This window comes from Homo sapiens, chromosome 9 (genome assembly GCF_000001405.40).
Source record: "Homo sapiens chromosome 9, GRCh38.p14 Primary Assembly".
Lineage (NCBI taxonomy): Eukaryota > Metazoa > Chordata > Mammalia > Primates > Hominidae > Homo > Homo sapiens.
The window spans coordinates 111,522,636-111,541,443 of record NC_000009.12 but is presented as its reverse complement, the minus strand read 5'-3'; the positions used below and the strand labels follow the sequence as shown (position 1 = coordinate 111,541,443).

General features: G+C 44.0%; 1 protein-coding gene across 8 annotated transcripts in view, besides 4 other annotated features; it reads right to left on the bottom strand.

Moving 5' to 3' along the window:
* Positions 1–16,265, bottom strand: part of ZNF483 (zinc finger protein 483) — a 52,958-nt gene extending 36,693 nt beyond the window's left edge. For 2 of the 8 annotated variants that reach the window (XM_047422864.1, XM_017014338.2), the window contains exons 1-6: positions 16,182–16,265; positions 15,651–15,758; positions 13,637–14,176; positions 10,481–10,569; positions 7,579–7,705; positions 7,091–7,183 (exon numbers count right to left, since the gene is read on the bottom strand). In XM_047422864.1, the coding sequence (XP_047278820.1) occupies positions 7,091–7,183; positions 7,579–7,705; positions 10,481–10,569; positions 13,637–14,048 (721 nt within the window). In that variant the 5' untranslated portion in view covers positions 14,049–14,176; positions 15,651–15,758; positions 16,182–16,265. Of the gene's footprint in view, positions 1–1,602; positions 1,999–7,090; positions 7,184–7,578; positions 7,706–10,480; positions 10,570–13,636; positions 14,177–14,280; positions 15,627–15,650; positions 15,868–16,181 lie in introns of those variants that run through there. The other 6 variants (NM_001007169.6, NM_133464.5, XM_017014337.2 and 3 more) reach the window with 5 other exon arrangements.
* Positions 11,096–11,720: an enhancer, noted in NCBI's record as "OCT4-NANOG-H3K27ac hESC enhancer chr9:114292004-114292628 (GRCh37/hg19 assembly coordinates)". NCBI's record gives its function as "activates a minimal SCP1, AML or CMV promoter by ChIP-STARR-seq in naive and primed H9 embryonic stem cells {active_cell/tissue: H9 hESC(naive and primed)}" and the evidence as "EXISTENCE:reporter gene assay evidence [ECO:0000049][PMID:30033119]".
* Positions 15,102–15,601: an enhancer, noted in NCBI's record as "H3K27ac hESC enhancer chr9:114288123-114288622 (GRCh37/hg19 assembly coordinates)". NCBI's record gives its function as "activates a minimal SCP1, AML or CMV promoter by ChIP-STARR-seq in primed H9 embryonic stem cells {active_cell/tissue: H9 hESC(primed)}" and the evidence as "EXISTENCE:reporter gene assay evidence [ECO:0000049][PMID:30033119]".
* Positions 15,713–15,912: an enhancer, noted in NCBI's record as "active region_28793". NCBI's record gives its function as "activates an Ori minimal core promoter by ATAC-STARR-seq in GM12878 lymphoblastoid cells {active_cell/tissue: GM12878}" and the evidence as "EXISTENCE:reporter gene assay evidence [ECO:0000049][PMID:35858748]".
* Positions 16,013–16,362: a silencer, noted in NCBI's record as "silent region_20180". NCBI's record gives its function as "represses an Ori minimal core promoter by ATAC-STARR-seq in GM12878 lymphoblastoid cells {active_cell/tissue: GM12878}" and the evidence as "EXISTENCE:reporter gene assay evidence [ECO:0000049][PMID:35858748]".

Genomic DNA, 18,808 nt, shown 5'->3' with positions numbered 1-18,808 from the left:
CTTTATAGTTAGATGCAAGTTCTCACCCTCATTTTGAATTTTTTTAAGAGGTTTAGGATGGGCACGGTGGCTCATGCCTGTAATCTCAGCACTTTGGGAGGCCAAGGCAGGGAGATCATGAGGTCAGGAGATCAAGACCATCCTGGCTAACACGGTGAAACCCCATCTCTACTAAAAATACAAAAAATTAGCTGGGTGTGGTGGCATGCACCTATGGTCCCAGCTACTTGGGAGGCTGAGGCAGGAGAATCACTTGAACCCAGGAGGCGGAGGTTACAGGGAGCCGAGATTGTGGCACTGCACTCCAGCCTAGGCAACAGAGCAAGGCTCTGTCTCAAAAAAAAAAAAAAAAAAAGGTTCAAACTTATTGTCCCTATATCCTAACTTTTCTCTTTCCAACAATGATAGCACAAACATTTGTTGAATATTTACCAAATGCCAGGTCCCGCACCAAGCACGGTGTAATACAAGTAAGTACAATACACTGCATTTAATCTTCACAACAACCCTATGGAGTACATTTTATTACCATCTCGGTTTTATGGATGTGACAACTGGGAACACAGAGTATTAAGTAGCCTGCCCAAGGTCACATGTATAATACGCGATAGAGCCAGATTTTTAACTTAGTCTGAAACCAAAGCCCGTGCTCTTGATCCTTATATCCTATCACCTCTCCCCAAAGCAAACAAATAACACTAATTTTGTTGAAAACGTTAAATACATCACAGATATGCAGCACCACCAATATAGACTTTCAAAGATTACCACAGCTGGCCCTATCAGCCTTACAGATACACTAATCAGGCATCCATTTTAAGTCTCTCCTACACTGCTGCAGTTCCAGTACTATTCTTCTGACCTGCATACTTCCTACTACATAGAATGCATTCCCACAGCACCCTCACTATCACAAACATAAATTCAACAGGGCCTAGAGTTCAATTCCAACAATCTCCAGAGCTTTCTCCAATACCATACTCTCACTGATTACGCTATTCTCAGAATTCTGAATTCACTAATTAACTACATCCTGGCTTTTTACCATGAGGTCACACTGTCACTTTTACGAAACTATTTTTTCAACAGATAATTATAAAATACAAAATTACTCAAAATCATATTACCTAGAAGTTAACTAATGGCCAATACACAATTCTGTGTATTTCCTTCAATGTTTCTATATAGTTTAAAACAGAAAAACTGCATAATTTGTATTGTTATTCTTTTCACTTTGTATTGTTACTCTTTTATGATTATTTCCCATTTTACTGCTAATTTTTCTTTTTAAAAAATTTTTTAAAATTTTTTAGAGATAGGGTCTTACTCTGTTGCCTACGCTGGAGTGCAGTGGCATGATCACAGCTCACTGCAGCCTCAACCTCCCCAGCTCAAGCAATCCTCCCACCTCAGCCTTCCAAGTAGCTGGAACCACAGGCAGGTGCCACCATACCTGGCTAATTCTAAAAAATTATCTGTAGAGATGGGGTCTCCCTGCGCGGATCAGGCTGGTCTCTAACTCCTGACCTCAAGTGATTCTCCCACCACAGCCTCCCAAAGTGCTGGGATTACAGGTATGAGCCACTGCACGCAACTCATTAATTCTTCATAAAGATAATTTTAATTAGTGACATGATGATCATCATATAGATATAATTGTTCATTCTCTTTTTTTTTTTTTTGAGACGGAGTTTTGCTCTTGTTGCCCAGGCTGGATGCAATGTGCGATCTTGGCTCACCGCAATCTCTGCCTCCCAGGTTCAAGCGATTCTCCTGCCTCAGCCTCCCAAGTAGCCTGGATTACAGGCATGTACCACCACGCCCAGCTAATTTTGTATTTTTAGTAGAGATGGGGCTTCTCCATGTTGGTCAGGCTGGTCTTCAATTCCTGACCTCAGGTGATCCACCTGCCTTGGCCTCCCAAAGTGCTGGGATTACAGGCATGAGCCACCACACCCAGCCTCATTCTCTTATTGAACCTTTATCAAATCACACTTCCTAAAAAACAGAGTCATAAAAGCAGAATTACTAAACCAAAGGGTAGAAAGGTTATACTGCTTTAAATGACACATGAGGAGCAGAAGCCCCTGAGTACTATCTCTGGTCAAATATTCTTTAAATCTTTGCAAATTTAATGCGTAATAAATAGTATTACTGCTTTACATGTACACTGCATTGTTAGCCAGTGAGTTTGAACATTTTTTTCATGTTCACAAGCTATTTAAATTTTAAATTTTGTTGGTGATCCATTCAAGTTAGTCCATTTTCCTAACAGACTTAGTGTTCCTTATTGATTTGAATGAGGTTTTTTTTTTTTTTTTTTTTTTTTTTGAGACGGAGTCTCGCTCTGTCACCCAGGCTGGAGTGCAGTAGCGTGATCTCAGCTCACTGCAAGCTCCGCCTCCCGGGTTCACGCCATTCTCCTGCCTCAGCCTCCCTAGCAGCTGGGACTACAGGCGCTCACTACCACGCCTGGCTAATTTTTGCATTTTTTAGTAGAGATGGGGTTTTACCATGTTGGCCAGGTTGGTCTCGAACTCCTGACCTCAGGTGATCCACCTGCCTCGGCTTCCCAAAGTGCTGGGATTACAGGTGAGCCACCACACCTGGCTGAGTTTTTTTGTTTGTTTTTTAATTATTGCCATTGACTCTGCTGTATCTGTCAAAACTTTTTTCTCTGGTGTGTCGTAAATAACTTTTAAAACAAGCTGTGTATCAACATGAGGCATTTTCTTTTATGTAAGATAATTGGGGAAGGGACATATATTTATACCAGTGCTGCTAGAACTACACAAAACACTTTCAGAATCCATTTGTTAAATTCCTCTCCAAAATGCTACTTAAATATGATAAAACAACTGTTGTCCTTTATTTATGTAATCACAGTTGACCCTTGAACAACACAGATTTGAACTGCAAGTGTCCACTTACAGGTGGTTTTTTTTTTTTTCTAAGAGATGGGGTCTTGTTCTGTCATCCAGGCTGGAGTACAGTGGCATGATTATAGCTCACTGCAACCTCTAACCCCTGGGCTCAAGCAATCCTCTCACCACGGCACACACCACTGTGCCTGGCTGATGTTTAAATTTTTTGTAGAAACAGGGTCTCACTATGCTGCCCAGGCTGGTCTCAAACTCCTGGCTTCAAGTGGTCTTCCTGCTTTGACCTCCCAAAGTGTTGAGATTACAGGTGGGAGCCGCCATGCCCAGCCCGTGGATTTTTTTCAATAAACATGTTAGAAAAATTTTTGGAGATTTGTGACAATTTGAAAAAACTTGCAGACAAACTGTGTAGCCTAGACATGTCAAAAAAAAAAACAACCCCAAAAATGTATGTCATGTATTTTTAAGATATATAGATACTAGTCTATTTTGTCATTTACTACTATAAAATGTACACAAATTATCAAGTTAAAATTTATCAAAACGTACACACACACTTACAGGCCGTACTTGGTGTCATTCACAGTCAAGAGAAATGTAAACAAATGTAAAGATACAGTATTAAATAATAACTGGGCCAGGCGCACTGGCTCACCCCCATAATCCCACCACTTTGGGAGGCCAAGGCAAACAGTTTGTTTGAGCCCAGGAGTTGGAGACCAGCCTGAACAACATGACAAAACTCTCTCTCTACAAAAAATACAAAAATTAGCTGAACATGGTGGCATGTGCCTGTAATACCAGCTACTCAAGAGGCTGAGGTGAGAGGATCGCTTCAGCCCAGGAGGTGGAGGCTGTAGTGAGCCGTGATCATGCCACTGCACCCTAGCCTGAATGACAGAGCAAGACCCTGTCACAAAATAATAATAATAATAACTGCATAAAACTGTAGTACATACTATACACTGTAATAATTTCATAGGCACCTCTTGTTGGTATTGCAATGAGCTCAAATGTCTGCTCTAAGTATCCACTTAAAATGCCAGGTAGGCCAGGCGCTGTGGCTCACGCCTGTAAACCCAGCACTTTAGGAAGCCAAGGCAGGAAGATCACTTGAGGTCAGGAGCTCGAGATCAACATGGTTAAACCCCGTCTCTACTGAAAATACAAAATTTAGCTGGGCATGGTGGTGCATGCCTGTAATCACAGCTACTTGGTGGGCTGAGGCAGCAGAATCACTTGAACCCAGGAGGTGGAGGCTGCAGTGAGCTGACATCACGCCATTGCACTCCAGCCTGCGTGACAGAGTGAGACTCTGTCTCCAAAAAAAAAAAAGCCACGTAATGCTAATCATCTCCACATAAGCAGTTTATGTCTCCAGGAAATTGCCTATCACCGTAAAAATGGATCTCTTGCGGTTCCCTCCTATTTTTCACTGTGTTTAGTGCAATACTGTAAATCTTGAATAACATCATGGGACCCATACAAAGTGCTGCTAGTAATGCTGGAAGTGCTCCCAACAAGCACAGAATAGTCATGATACTTCAAGAAAAAGCTGAACTGCTTGATATGTACCATAGACTGAGGTCTGCAGCTGCAATTGTCTGCCATTTCAGACAAACAACATAAATTTAGTGATCGATACACACAGTACAGTACCGTAAATGTTATTTTCTTTCTTGTCTTAATAGCATTTTTCTCTAGCTTACTAGAATACAGTATAAAAAACACATAACATATGTAATTATGTTTATGTTATCAATAAGGCTTCAGGTCAACAGTAGGCTATTAGTAGTTATGTTTTTGGAGAGTTAACGGTTATACATGGATTTTCAACTGTACGGGGGCGGGGGGGGTGCGGTCAGTGGCCCCTAATCCTGTTGTTCAAGGGTCAATTGTATACTGGAAACAGCCAATAAGTTGACTACAATAAATGTTTGAGAAGATGGAATAGAGCAAGATGGATCATTGCTTCTTTCTTTTAAGATAAACCAAGGTATTGATACATGTAATAACTTACTTTTGTTTTTATTTTTTGAGATGGAGTCTCGCTCTGTCGCCCAGGCTGGAGTGCTGTGGCGCCATCTCGGCTCAGTGCAAGCTCCACTTCCCAGGTTCAAGCGATTCTCCTGCCTCAGCCTCCAGAGTAGCTGGGATTACAGGCGCCCACCACCAAGCCTGGTTAATTTTTTTTTTTTGTATTTTTAGTAGAGACGGGGTTTCACCGTGTTAGTCAGGATGGTCTTGATCTCCTGACCTCATGATCTGCCTGCCTCAGCCTCCCAAAGTGCTGGGATTACAGGTGTGAGCCACCACGCTTGGCCTATTTTTATTTTTTTAAATGTAAATTTAATATATATATATAAATTGTGGCCGGGCACAGTGGCTCATGCCTGTAATCCCAGTACTTTGAGAGGCCAAGGCGGGTGGATCACTTGAGGTCAGGAGTGATCCACCTCCTTTCCATGGGGAAACGCCATCTCTACTAATAAAAATACAAAAAAAATTAGCTGGGCGTGGTGGCGCGTGCCTATAGTCCCAGCTAGTTGGGAGGCTGAGGCAGGAGAGAATTGCTTGAACCCAGGAGGCAGAGGTTGCAGTGAGCCAAGATCACGGCACTGCACTCCAGCCTGGGTAACTCTGTCTCAAAAAAAAAAAAAAGAATAATAATATATATAAATTGTAAGATATAGGTAAGTATAAAAAAACCTAATCCTGGCCGGGCACGGTGGCTCATGCCTGTCATCCTAGCACTTCGGGAAGCCGAGGTAGGAAGATCACGAGGTCAGGAGATCAAGACCATCCTGGCCAATATGGTGAAACCCCGCCTCTACTAAAAATACAAAAAAAATTAGCTTGGCGTGGTGGCACATGCTTGTAGTCCCAGCTACTTGGGAGGCCGAGGCAAGAGAATCACTTGAACCTGGGAGGCAGAGGTTGCAGTGAGCTGAGACTGCACCACTGCACTCCAGCCTGGTGACAGAGCAAGACTCCATCTCAAGAAAACAAAACAAAACCTAATTCTTCAAAGATAACCAGTGTTAACATGAATGTTTTCCAGATATTAAAAATCCATATACTCTATGTATTCAGGCATGTATTTATATGTACATTTTTTCCCTTTAACAAAAATGGAATTATTATGCATGCTGTCCACTGGATGAATTCCTACTCATCCTTCAAGATTCAACTCAAATGCGAATTAAAACCTTGCTCCTGTATATTCCCACAGCTCCTTATACATGTGCTTGATATAGTATGCATCAGTGTTAACACTCTTGTTTCGATACGTCCTCTAGTGTCCATAAAAATGCACCACTCACACCTCCCCCTGCGGGGATATTACCTGACAACCCCTGCTGCTGCTCTATGAATCCAACACTGCATTCACACAAATTCCCACGAGTTGCTCCCAGTCAATGATGGAGTACAGGATACTTACACAGGCCCATTTCTTTGAGACACAGGACTCCTCTGATAGGTAACTATGGCAAGGACTCCTGTTTGGCCCTGCCTAAACTTTTTTGGAACTGCACTGCAGCCGGGCGTGGTGGCTCATACCTGTAATCCCAGCACTTTGGGAGGCCGAGGCAGGCCGATCACGAGGTCAGGAGTTCAAGACTAGCCTGGACAACATGGTGAAACCCCGTCTCTACTAAAAATACAAAAAATTAGCCAGGCTTGGTGGCAGGCGCCTGTAATCCCAGCTACTCAGGAGGCTGAGGCAGGAGAATCACTTGAACCCGGGAGGCGGAGGTTGCAGTGAGCCGAGATCACGCCACTGCACTCTAGCTCGGGAGACGGTGTGAGACTCCGACTCAAAAAAAAAAAAAAAAAAAAAAAGATAGAACGACACTTTAGTCTAAGACTTTTCCTACCCAATCTGCCCTCCTTCCTGTTCTCATTCACAGGGGTTAGACCAGCATTATGCTCTGATGGCTATTCCGGCTTCTTCTAGTTCCTTCCTCATTTTCCTTCACTGAATCTTTCTCCAGTAAAGATCTTACATGGCTAATCATGTCCTGGCATCTATTCAGAGGACCCAAACCAAGTCTCCCCCACTAAAATGAACATTTCAGGAAGGCAAGGGCTCTATTCTAATCATCTTTGTATTTTAGTATCTAGGCAGCCCAACATTTCAAAGAGTCTTCTCAACAGACTTGCTAAACAACTGCTTTAATTTCGTTGTGTATTTTTCACCAACTCACCTAGTCGGGAGCTTTTTGAGACTTCTTCCAGCAGCCATGGCAATTCAACCCACTTTAGCTGGGAAATCAACTCTAATTTTGAAACTGGAAAGTCTGCTCATAGAGAAAAGAACAGAAAATTGCTGTTTTGCATAGAGTAAAGATATCCCAGCATTCACATATAGCCTCTGGTTCTCCAAGGAAGATAAAAACATGCTACCAAAATACACAGACATAAATACTGGAACTTGAGACAAAAATGGGAAAAGGTATTCCACTGATGAAATCAAAATGATGCTTCACATTTCCAATTCAATGAAGCAAAGACCTTTTCTAGAAGATACGCTGCAGAAAAGCACATTTTCAGAACCAGTTTTTAGGATTAGTCCTATCAGTCCCTGGGTCCCCAGCCAAAACCAAGTACTTCACACAGCACTTACCTTTCAATAAAAGGGAACAAAAAGAGACCCAAGGTTAAACGCTAGGTAATGAAGAAAAGGTGTCTTTACCCAGAAATTCTAGGTTCCTGAGGTTTTCCAGTAGCACTTCCTTATATAGCTCCTTTTGAAAAGGCTCCAGCTTCTTCCACTCTCCTCTTGAAAAGTTCACAGCTACATCCTTCAATGTTATAGATTCCTAGAACACCAAACAGCTCTTTTGTATTGGATTATTCCCAAATAGAACCTAAGTACTTTTTTTTTTTGAGACAGGCTATTATGGCTCTGTCGCCCGTGTTAGAGTGCAGTGGTGCTTCATGGTTCACTGCAGGCTCAACCTCCTGGGCTCAAGTGATCCTCCCACCAGTAGCTGGGACTGCAGGCACGTGCCACCATGCTTGGCTTATTTTTAAATTTTTTGTAGAGGCATTGTCTCACTATTTGCCCAGGCTGGTCTCAAACTCTTGGGCTCAAGTAATCCTCTGTCCTCTACCTCCCAGAGCACTGGGATTACAGGCCTGAGCCACTGTGCCCAGCCTGGATAGGATATAAAGAATGGTTTGGATAGCATGCAAGTTTTTAAGAATTCCAAAGAAAGCTACGGAGCGGCTAATCATTCTATGACTGTTATAAGTGATTCAGAACAAGGGTATTACACAATCCCTGCCTCTTCCATTCAGTCTCTAGTGTTAAATACTGTACAAGAATTATCTGGAATGTGTAACATTGATCAAGTTCACCCTAACACATAGATTTCTAGGACTAAAATATTAAATGAAGGGTATGATTTACATTCCTGAACCCTAAATTTGCAGAATTAATGTAAGCTTACTACAGGTAATAACTGTACAATAATATCTGCAACTACATTCCAAATTTTAACTTCCAATTACGAGCAGCAATTATCTTCCATCATATTCAGAGAATCTATGTTCAACAACATACTGACACTTGCAATTACTTCACAATTACAAACAAGAATACTGACTCACTAAAATACACTTTCCTTTTTTTTCTTTTTTTTTTTTTGAGACGGAGTCTCACTGTGTTGCCCAGGCTGGAGTGCAGTGGCATGATCTCGGCTCACTGCAACCTCCACCTCCTGGGTTCAAGCGATTCTCATGCCTCAGCCTCTCAAGTAGCTGGGATTACAGGCATGCACCAACGCACCCAGCTAATTTTTGAAATACACTTTCTATAGCATTCTCTGCATGCTTTTTATAAGGCAGTAGAGCCAAATGGCTATTGGTACGTGTATTACCTTCCTCTGGGAGCTGTAACAAATTCCCATAACCTTGGTGACTCAAAATAGGAATTTGTTCTCTCACAGTTCTGGAGGCCAGAAGTCTGAGATCTAGGTGTTGGCAGGGCTGTGCTCCCTTCAGAGGCTCTGGGGGATAATCTGTTCCTTGCCTCTTCCTGCTTCTGGTGGCTGCCACAGTTCCTTGTCTTACGGCCCTATCACTCCAAACTCTGCCTAACTCTTCACAACACCTTCTCTTTGTGTTTTCAATCTCCTCCTGCCTCTCTAGCAAGGACACTTGGGATGGCATTTAAGGCCCACCTATATAATCCAGAATAAATTCCTCATCTTGTTTTCTTTTTGTGAGACTGGGTCTCACTTTGTTACCCAGGCTGGAGTACGGTGGCGTAATCATAGCTCACTGCAGCCTCAACCTCCCAGGCTCAAGTGAAAGACTGTCTTTCCCCCTTACAGCTCTACCACCTCAGATCCCGGGTAGCTGAGACCACAGGTATGTGACTATGCCCAGCTAATTTTTAAAATTTTTTATATAGACGAGGGTCTCGCTATGTTGCCCAGACTGCTCTCGAACTCCCAGGCTCAAGCAATCCTCCCACCCCGGCCTCCCAAAGTGATGGGATTACAGGCATGATCCACTGTACCCAGCCAAGGATGTTCTTTATCATGTTAAGATTTAAGGACATGTATTTCTGTCTGGGCACAGTGGCTAATGCCTGTAATCACAATGCTGTGGGAGGCCAAGGGAGAGGACTGCTTGAGGTCAGGAGTTCAAGACTGGCCTGGGCAACACAGCAAGACCCCAACTCTACAAAAAATATTTTAAAATGAGCTGGGCACAGTGGCGTGCGCCAGTTGTCCCAGCTACTCATGAGGCTGAGGAGGGAGGATGGCTTAAACCCAGGACTTCAAGGTTGCAGTGAGCTATGCTTGCACCACTGCACTCCACTCCAGCCTAGATGACAGAACAAGACCCCATCTCTTAAAAAGAAAAAAAGCAAGGCCGGATGCAGTGGCTCACACCTGTAATCCCAGCACTTTGGGAGGCTGAGGTGGGTGGATCACCTAGGTCAGGAGTTTGAGATCAGCCTGGCCAACATGGTGAAACCCCGTCTCTACTAAAAATACAAAAATTAGCCGGGCATGGTGGCAGGAGCCTATAATCCCAGCTACTCAGGAGGCTGAGGCAGGAGAATCGCTTGAACCTGGGAGGCAGAGGCTGCAGTGAGCCGAGATACCGCCACCGCACTCCAGCCTGGGCAACGGAGTAAAACTCTGTCTCAAGAAAGAAAAAAAAAGAAGGAAATGAACTTCTATTTCACTTGACTAATTTTAATAGTGGTAACTGCTGAATTTTAGTAAGTGTTTTTGTTTCATTACAATCAGACTCATGGCATTCTGTGAACTGAAACAAAATTGCATGTGGAAAATGAGGCGTCAGTTCCTTGAAAGGGAGATTACATTTATTCTATTTTTTTTAGAGACAGGGTCTTGCTCTGTTGCCCAGGCTGGAAGGCAGCAGTGGCATGATCATAGCTCACTGCAACCCTGAACTCTTGGGCTCAAGCGATCTTCCTGCCTCAGCCTCCCAAAGTGCTGGGATTACAGGTGTAAGCCACCGTGCCTAGCCTTTTATTTTTATATCTTTATACCACTCAGTAGGAGCTCAATTAAGTATTCACTTAGGAATAAAAACCATCAAAGGAAACTTACACAGGACTCAGTATTGGGACAAACAGTGACCATTTTATCCTCTTTTGAGTTCTCCTCTTGGGAAACAGTAGAATCTTGAGAGACTGGATCTAGGAAAGGGGAGAAAACCAGTCCAGTCGTTCATACAGATTCCTCAGACTAAAAATCTTATATATATATATGTATATATATATATATATATATATATATATATATATATATATATATTTCTAAGTGATAAACAGGAAAAAAACTAAGTCAGTTTCTCCTACTATACTCACAACACAAAATAATTCTGTGACTCCAGATATGTGGGGGTGTTTCCCCCACACCCAGCAGGCAGTTCTGTGTTGGACTCCCCAGCAGGCACCAGCTGGGTGTCCTCTAATTCATTTCTAATGCTATCTACCTGGAGATAGCATCAGTTCCCAAAGGTTAAGGCCTCAGTCCAAGACTGACCTCCACTTCAGATGCCAGTCTCATGTCCGACCCTCCAGGGCTTTTGACCAACAAGATACAAATTGGGGTTCCCATGAGCCCCTCCCTGGGTTCCAATAATTTGCTAGAGTGGCTCACGTAACACTTTACTTACGTTTACTGGTTTAATGTAAAGGGTATTACAAAGGATACAGATGAACAGCCAGATGGATGAGGCATTGCATAGGGCAAGGGGCTTGCTGCTTCCATGCCATCTCTGGGTACACAGCTCTCCAGGAACTGCCACGTGGTTAGCTATCTGGAAACTCTCATGAGCTGTGTCCTTTTGGGTTTTTATGGAAGCTTCATAGACAGGCATGACTGATTAAATCACTGGTCCTGTGATCAACTCAACCTTCAGTCCCTCTCCCCTTTGACAGGTTGGGGGGTGGAGCTGAGTTCCAACCCTCTAAGCAACTGGGTTGGTTCCCCTGGCAACCAGCACCCTTCCCCAATTCCAGGGTTATCTAAGGACTTTCCAAAAATCACCTCGTTAACATAAACTCAAGTGTGGTTAAAAGGAGCTTATTATAAATAACAAAAAGACTGTCTTTCTCCTTTATAGCTCAGGAGCTGTTTCAGGAACCACGGACAAAAGGCCAAATATTTTAACAAAAGATACTCTTACTGTTCTAATCACCCAGGAAATTACAAGGGTTCTAAGAGCTCTGAGCCTCTCTGGATAAAAAGGTCAGAAGAAACAAAAAGTTGTCCCACTCTTTAAAACAGAGAACAGCCATAGATAAAAGTTTCCTGTGAAAACCTAGGCATTTCCTCTTAGCTCATATAAAAATCTTTTCAAATCCTAAGCTCACGAAAACTTCTTTCTGTATACCCTCAGTTTAAAAATATTTAATTTGAACAATAATGAATTGTGAAGTATCCTAATTTAAAAGATGTAGTAAGGTAAAACTGTGTATTCTTCATAGTCCTAGTACAAAGCCTTGCTCAAGAGTTGCTCAAACCTGCTAACTGAATGAAAGCACCAGGTTAGTCTCAAGAGTTGACTCCACCAGATTCCTTAAGACAGAGAAGAGGCATCTAATAAACTCATAGGAACTAAATGTATGCAGTACCTTCAGATTGGCCCATTCTGGGCATACTGCCTATGAGTGATCCCTGCTCCACAAGGAGCAGTAAAAAATACATACATAAAAACCCTCGGATGTCAACAGCTCTTTTTCAATTAAGAAAAATTATTTTTTCAAATCATACTCTACCTTCTTATGAAAAGAATTTTAGGCAAATTTAGTGATTAGACAATCAATAAAAATTAAGAATTAGAATTACGTAATCAAAGAGAAAAGTGGGGTGAATTTAAGAAAACTGTTACACCCTACAGAATCCTAGAAATCAATCTTTTTTTTTTTGAGACGGAGTTTCGCTGTTATTGCCCAGGCTGGGGTGCAATGGCGTGATCTTGGCTCACTCCACCTCCCCGGTTCAAGCGATTCTCCTGCCTCAGCCTCCAGAGTAGCTGGGATTACAGGCGTGCACCACCACACCTGCCTGAGTTTGTATTTTTGTAGAGACGGGGTTTCTCCATGTTGGTATGGCTGGTCTCAAACTCCTGACCTCGGGTGATCCACCCGCCTAGGCCTCCCGAAGTGCTGGGATTACAGGTGTGAGCCACCGTACCCAGCCCGAAATCAATTCTTTATTGCAGGGGCCTCCACAAAGAGGCCCTAATTTTGTAGAAGCATGACACTGCAGTGACAAATCACAGAGGAGTCAGGAAACCCAAATTTGAGATACACTAATTAGCTGCGTGATGGCGAATTAAGTGTATGGAGGTAAATACTATTTATTTCCCTATCTCAGAACTCTTCCAGAATACAAACTGTCACACATATGTCAGGAGCCCTATGGTAAATAATATACTACAAATATTCCAAATATTTGTAGCATATTACACTGCAAAATACAAATATTTGTATCATATTTGAGAACATAAATAGCTACAAATTTGAGAAAAAAGGCGAGCCACATTCCCTGAAAGGACTACTCACCCTAGAAGACTTTACATCAATATTTTATAATGATATCACCGTAATTCAGTTTATAGTTTATACATTTGTATTTATAATATGTAATTACATACATATATCCAGGTTTTCCTGCCCTAAGGCTGTGGAACTGCACTATAAAATAGTTACTAGTCGCATGTGGCTATTTAAACTTTAAATTTGATTTAAAAAATTCAGTTCCTTATTTGCACTAGCTGCTTTTCATGTACTTGAATTGCAAAACAGTGCAGAAACATTTCCATCAGCAAAGACACTCACAGCCACCCTCTAGCAACGTGCTAGTCCACACAATGGAACTAGGCATTAGGGCCTGAGCTGGTTGATTTGCCTGTGACTCCAAACACTTTCACAGATAACTTGTGTTCTTGAAGGGGATGGGAAAGAAATTACTATTTCTTGAGCATCCACCATATATTATATCCTATCTTGTCTCACCTTTACAAGAAAACTACAAGAAAGATAAAATCCCTTTTTAACAGATAAAAATATTTACATTCTGAGAGTTTACACAGCTTGCCCAAAATCACACAGTAAATGGCAGGGCTGATTCAAACCCAGTCCCAACTTCTAACCTCAGACTCCTCTTTAGCAGTAAATTGCCTTCTTTTGAGGAATTTACTTTCGGACTTTGAGGCAATGTCTCCCGCTTCCTCCCTCCATCTATAAATCTCACCTTTTTCTTCAAGCATCTGGGTCAAATCTTCTATTAGGGTCACCACTTCCTCACTACTCTCAGGATGTTGTGACTTTACCCAAATCCTGATCTCCCCAGGCAAAATGGTCAGGAACTGCTCAAACACCAGAAGCTCTAAAATCTGTTCTTTCGTGTGAATGTCTGGTCTCAGCCACTGATTGCAGAGCTCCCAGAGTTGACTCAGAGCTTTCCTGGGTCCAGCTACTTCTGAGTAACAAAACCACCTAAACCTCTGTCTGAAAGACTCTGCATCAGCAGCATTTCCTCTTAAAATAGCTTCTTGTTCCCCAGAAGTAACCACTCTTGGGACCTCATTTTGTTCAGTCGAGGCCAGAGTTTGAGGTTCTGGTGAGATGGCTGTCATCTTGTTCAAGGGCACTACAGCTTGCATTGTGTCTCAGGGGCAGGAATCCAGTCCCTTCACACTCTAGTTGAGTATCAGTACAGTCCACCAACAGGCACTATACACAGCCAGGAATATCAAAGGTTCCAGGAATCCAGTTTACAGTCCTGCAGAAACTGTCAAGAAGAAATATTAAGGCATTAAATAAGTAAAAAAACTGTTGTTAGTCCTAAAAACATCGTTCTTGGTTTGGTTCAGAGAAATATATCCACACACATACCAGCAAAGGCCTAGAAAAGCCCTGCTCAATTAAAAGGATAACTTTCTTTCTTTTTTTTTTTGAGACGGAGTTTCGCTCTTGGTGCCCAGGCTGGAGTGAAGTGGTGCGATCTCGGCTCACTGCAACCTCTGCCCCGGCTGGGTTCAAGTGATTCTCCTACCTCAGCCTCTTGAGTAGCTGGGATTATAGGCGCCCACCACCATGCCTGGCTAATTTTTGTATTTTTAGTAGAGACGGGGTTTCGCCATGTTGGCCAGGCTAGTCTTGAACTCCTGACTTCAGGCGATCCACCCACCTCAGCCTCCCAAAGTGTCAGGATTACAGGCGTGAGCCACTGTGCCCAGCCATAATTTTCTTTATAGTCAAAAACCAGGGAGCTACTTAAGGGTTAAGGAAACAGTTGCTTTAGATTGAATACTCCTCCTAAACAAAATGTTATCAGAAAAGGTTCACAAGGGGACCCAGTCACAAAGCTATTTAACAACTCCTACCCTTTCTTAATGAAAGGGCACACATTTCTCACTAGTTGCTCAACTCAGAAGCCCAATTTAATATTTGACTTTCAAATTTCTCTTCCTCCTTACTTCTCCCATCAATCGCCAAGTTCTGGCGATTTTATTTCCTAAGAACCTCTCCATTCTATCCTTCTGAAACTGCCTAAGTACAGGGTTCTTCACTCCAGTCTCACACTGTGGCCAAAAAATTCCTTCTAACATGCAAAATATGATCTTATCACTCCCCGGCTTACAGTCCCTCACCAGCCACCGAACTGTCTCTCGATAAAGTTCACATGCAGGGACCATGGCATTGTGATCTAGAGACACTGTCTGATGACCTCACCTCTTGAGCTCTAGCTACCCGATTGACACTACAGCCATAAATTAGTATCTCCTCTCTCTCTACATACTCTCCTAGCCTTTGCACCAAGGCTATTCCCTCTCCTCGGAATGTTGCTTTCTTTCTCCTACCAAACTTTTATTCGTCTTTAAAGCCTGACTCCTTTCAACTGTCACTTCTGGTGTGATGCTCTGCTTGATCCCAAAGCACTCCTTTGCACACAGACTGCCCTGTGTTGCATTCATTCATTCATTCTATAAGTGACGGAGCAACTACAATGAGCTGGAACGAGACCAGGGGCCATGAGCTGCGGGGCCAGGCGTGGACAGGCCTGAAAGGGTCCTCACGCTCACAGAGGGTCCAGGAAATGACAATACAGCCGGAGCGGGACTACAATGCGACAAGTGAAGGATGTGACAGCCTCGCATTGCAACTACCATACCAATAACAACCCACTTCCGAGTACAGCGCCCGGCACACAGCAGCATGACGTCATTTATTCCTCTGCCAAATATTAGGCGCCCACCACGTACCTGGCGCCGTGCTGAGCACCTGGGGCTCCGCGATGACTAAGACACTCGGCTCCGTCTACAGGGAGTTTACATAGGAGGCCCGGTGAAAATGTGACGCAGCCAGAGGATCTCAACCAGAGGGAAGAAAAAAGGAGAGATTTCACCCCCCAGCGGTCCTCTGGCAATGTCTGGACACATTTTTGGTTAGCTCGACTAGGACGAGAGGTGGTACTGTTATCTAACGGGCAGAACCAGTGACGCTGTTAAACATCCTGCCACAACGGGAGAGCCTCCCCCTCACCGCCACACCACAAACAAAACAAGGCATTATCCCGCCCAAAATGTCAACAGTGCCCAAGTGGCGCAGGGAGGGATGGAGGGAAGCCAACAGCCCCATCCCGCAGCGGAGTGCGCACCTCCCACAGAAGCAGCAGCAGCGCAGCGCACAGCCCGTTGGTAGGCTGCTCCCGGCCCCCATCCCGCCCCAAGTGCGCCCTCGGAGCCGGCGACCCGGCCACGGCCCCGAAACTCGGGGCCCGGGACGACCAGTACCTGCATCAGCATCCGCAAACAGCACCAACGCCACCGCAAAGAGCTTCCAGAAGCTTGTCCCGCAGCGAGTGCGCGCGCAAGCCTGCGGGAACCACTGCGCCTGCGCAGAGGCGCTGAACCGGACTCCCCGAACGCGCTCGTGCAGCTTTCCGAAAGTCCGCGCTTTCCATAGGCTCCCACCTGCCTGTTGCGCATGGTCACTGGGAAGCGGCTAGTGGGCTCGGCTGCAGAATTATTGCTGCGCCAGAGGCTCAGAGGCCTAGAATCGTATGAGGTTTGCAGATCCAGGAGGCTCCATCTGTTTAGTAACCTCAGACCTTCCCTACCCGCTCCCATCACTTCCATTCCCTGAAATCTAAGGTGGAAAAATCCACCGCAGAAGCATATTACCGATGCATTTAATGCAAGCCATAATTAATGCCACAACTTGAGTTAAACACATATTAATCTTATGACTTCCACACCTGCCCCCATGGTCCAGTCCACCCTCATGGCTCACCTGGATTATTGCAATAGCTTCTTGATTATACCTTACTTCTCTTGGCTATTCTCCACAGCCAGACGGACGTTTTAAAAACGTCAAATTATGACCCTCCTTTGCTTAAAACCCTGCAATGGTTTCCCATTTCACTCAGAGTTAAAACCCAAGTCTTTATAGTGGCCTACAAGGCCTGATGGAATCTAGCCCCTGTAACCTCCCGCACCTCTTCCCCACTTTCCTGCTCCAATCTTGATAGACCCCTTCCTCTTCTTGTAACCTGCCAGGTACTTCCGGCTGACCTGCTCCTTCCCTAAGTGGCCATACGGCCCGCTCTCTCATCCCTTCAGGTCTTCTCAATGAAGCTCTCCCACCATTCCACTTAAATAGGAATCCCACCTTACTCTTGTTTCCTCTTCTAACATGCCCTATAGGTTTGTTAATTTTTTTTTTTACTACTTGTCCGCCTTCTCCAGTAGAATACTAATTTCAGAAGAGTAAGTATTTTTATTTCATTTGTTCTAGGTTGTGTGTTTAGGTCCTGGAACAGGACTTGGCCCATGGCAGGCACTCAATAGATATTTGTTGAGCTTATGAATGAGTATTTGCATGGATTATTGGGGGCATTGCAAAAAGGGCCAAAGAACTCCAGAAAAATTGTTTGGAGGGTTCTAATAACTGGATGATCCCTGAAGGGGTGGAGTTAGGAGAGAAAGACTAGATTCATTCTAGACTGAAGGAGCAAGGTGATTCAAGGCCCTGAGACTTCAAAAGGGCAGAGCAAGCTCAACTAAATGAACCACTCCTCTCAAAAGGAGTGGGCTTATCACAGGCAGCAAGTCAAGCTGAAGAGACAGGGCTGAGAATGGCCGGGCGCGGTGGCTCATGCTTGTAATCCCAGCACTTTGGGAGGCTGAGGCGGGTGGATCACCTGAGGTCGGGAGTTTGAGACCAGCCTGACCCACGCGGAGAAACCCTGTCTCTACTAAAAATACAAAAAATTAGCCAGGTGTGGTGGCACATGCCTATAATCCCAGCTACTCGGGAGGCTGAGGCAGGAGAATCACTTGAATCCGGGAGGTGGAGGTTGTGAAGAGCTGAGATCAGGCCATTGCGCTTTAGCCTGAGTAACGAGTGAAACTCCGTCTCAAAAAAAAAAAAAGAGAAAAAAAAGAAACAGGGCTGAGAATGAAGACAAAAGTTTTCTCAGTCCCGAGTCCCATGGCATATTCTCCTTTACCCACCTCCCCTTGGCTGGCTTTAGACGCATCAGGAAGAAGCTGGAGAAGGCAAAGGAATAGGAAATGTCTATTGGCTCATTATTTTAACCAGGCAAGTCAGAGGCACTTTACTTAGTAAAGCTTACTCAAGCTTTACTGTACTTTAGAATCACATGGTGTTCTTTATTTGAATACAGATTTTGGAACCTTCTGGCCCTCCCCACCCATCAACTTGTTGCAGGTGATCTTGTATTTTGAGAAACACAGTACTAGTTGAAATATTCTGTAAGTAAATGACATGCTACCTATGAATAAATTACCAGGAAAGAATGGCATCTTTTTGGAACTGGTAGTCAAACTATAACTTTTGATTAAAAGTAACCATCATGGTAAGGAGTGATGGACTGTGCATCAGGAAGGAAGCAGGAAACTACAAATCAGTTCCACTGGTAAGCAAGCTGGTGGGATCTCTAAACAGGAAAACATACTTAGGAGAACTTTAAGTGAGCTGTTTGTTTGTTCGTTTAACTGTTCTGGTTTCAGTATGGACAGTAGATTAGAAAGAAGTAACACCAGAGATAAAAAGACTTTGTCTTATCATAATCCAGGTAACATGATGGTGACATAAAATGAAGGTGGTTTAAAAGGTGATGGAAGGGCCGGGCTGGTGGCTCACGCCTGTAATCCCAGCACTTTGGGAGGCCGAAGTGGGCGGATCACGAAGTCAGGAGATTGAGACCATCCTGGCTAACGCGGTGAAACCCCATCTGTACTAAAAATACAAAACTTAGCCGGTCATGGTGGCGCCTGCCTGTAATCCCAGCTACTCAAGAGGCTGAGGCAGGAGAATCACTTGAACTCAGGGGGGCAGAGGTTGCAGTGAGCTGAGATTGCGCCACTGCACTCCAGCCTGGGCGACAGAGTGAGAC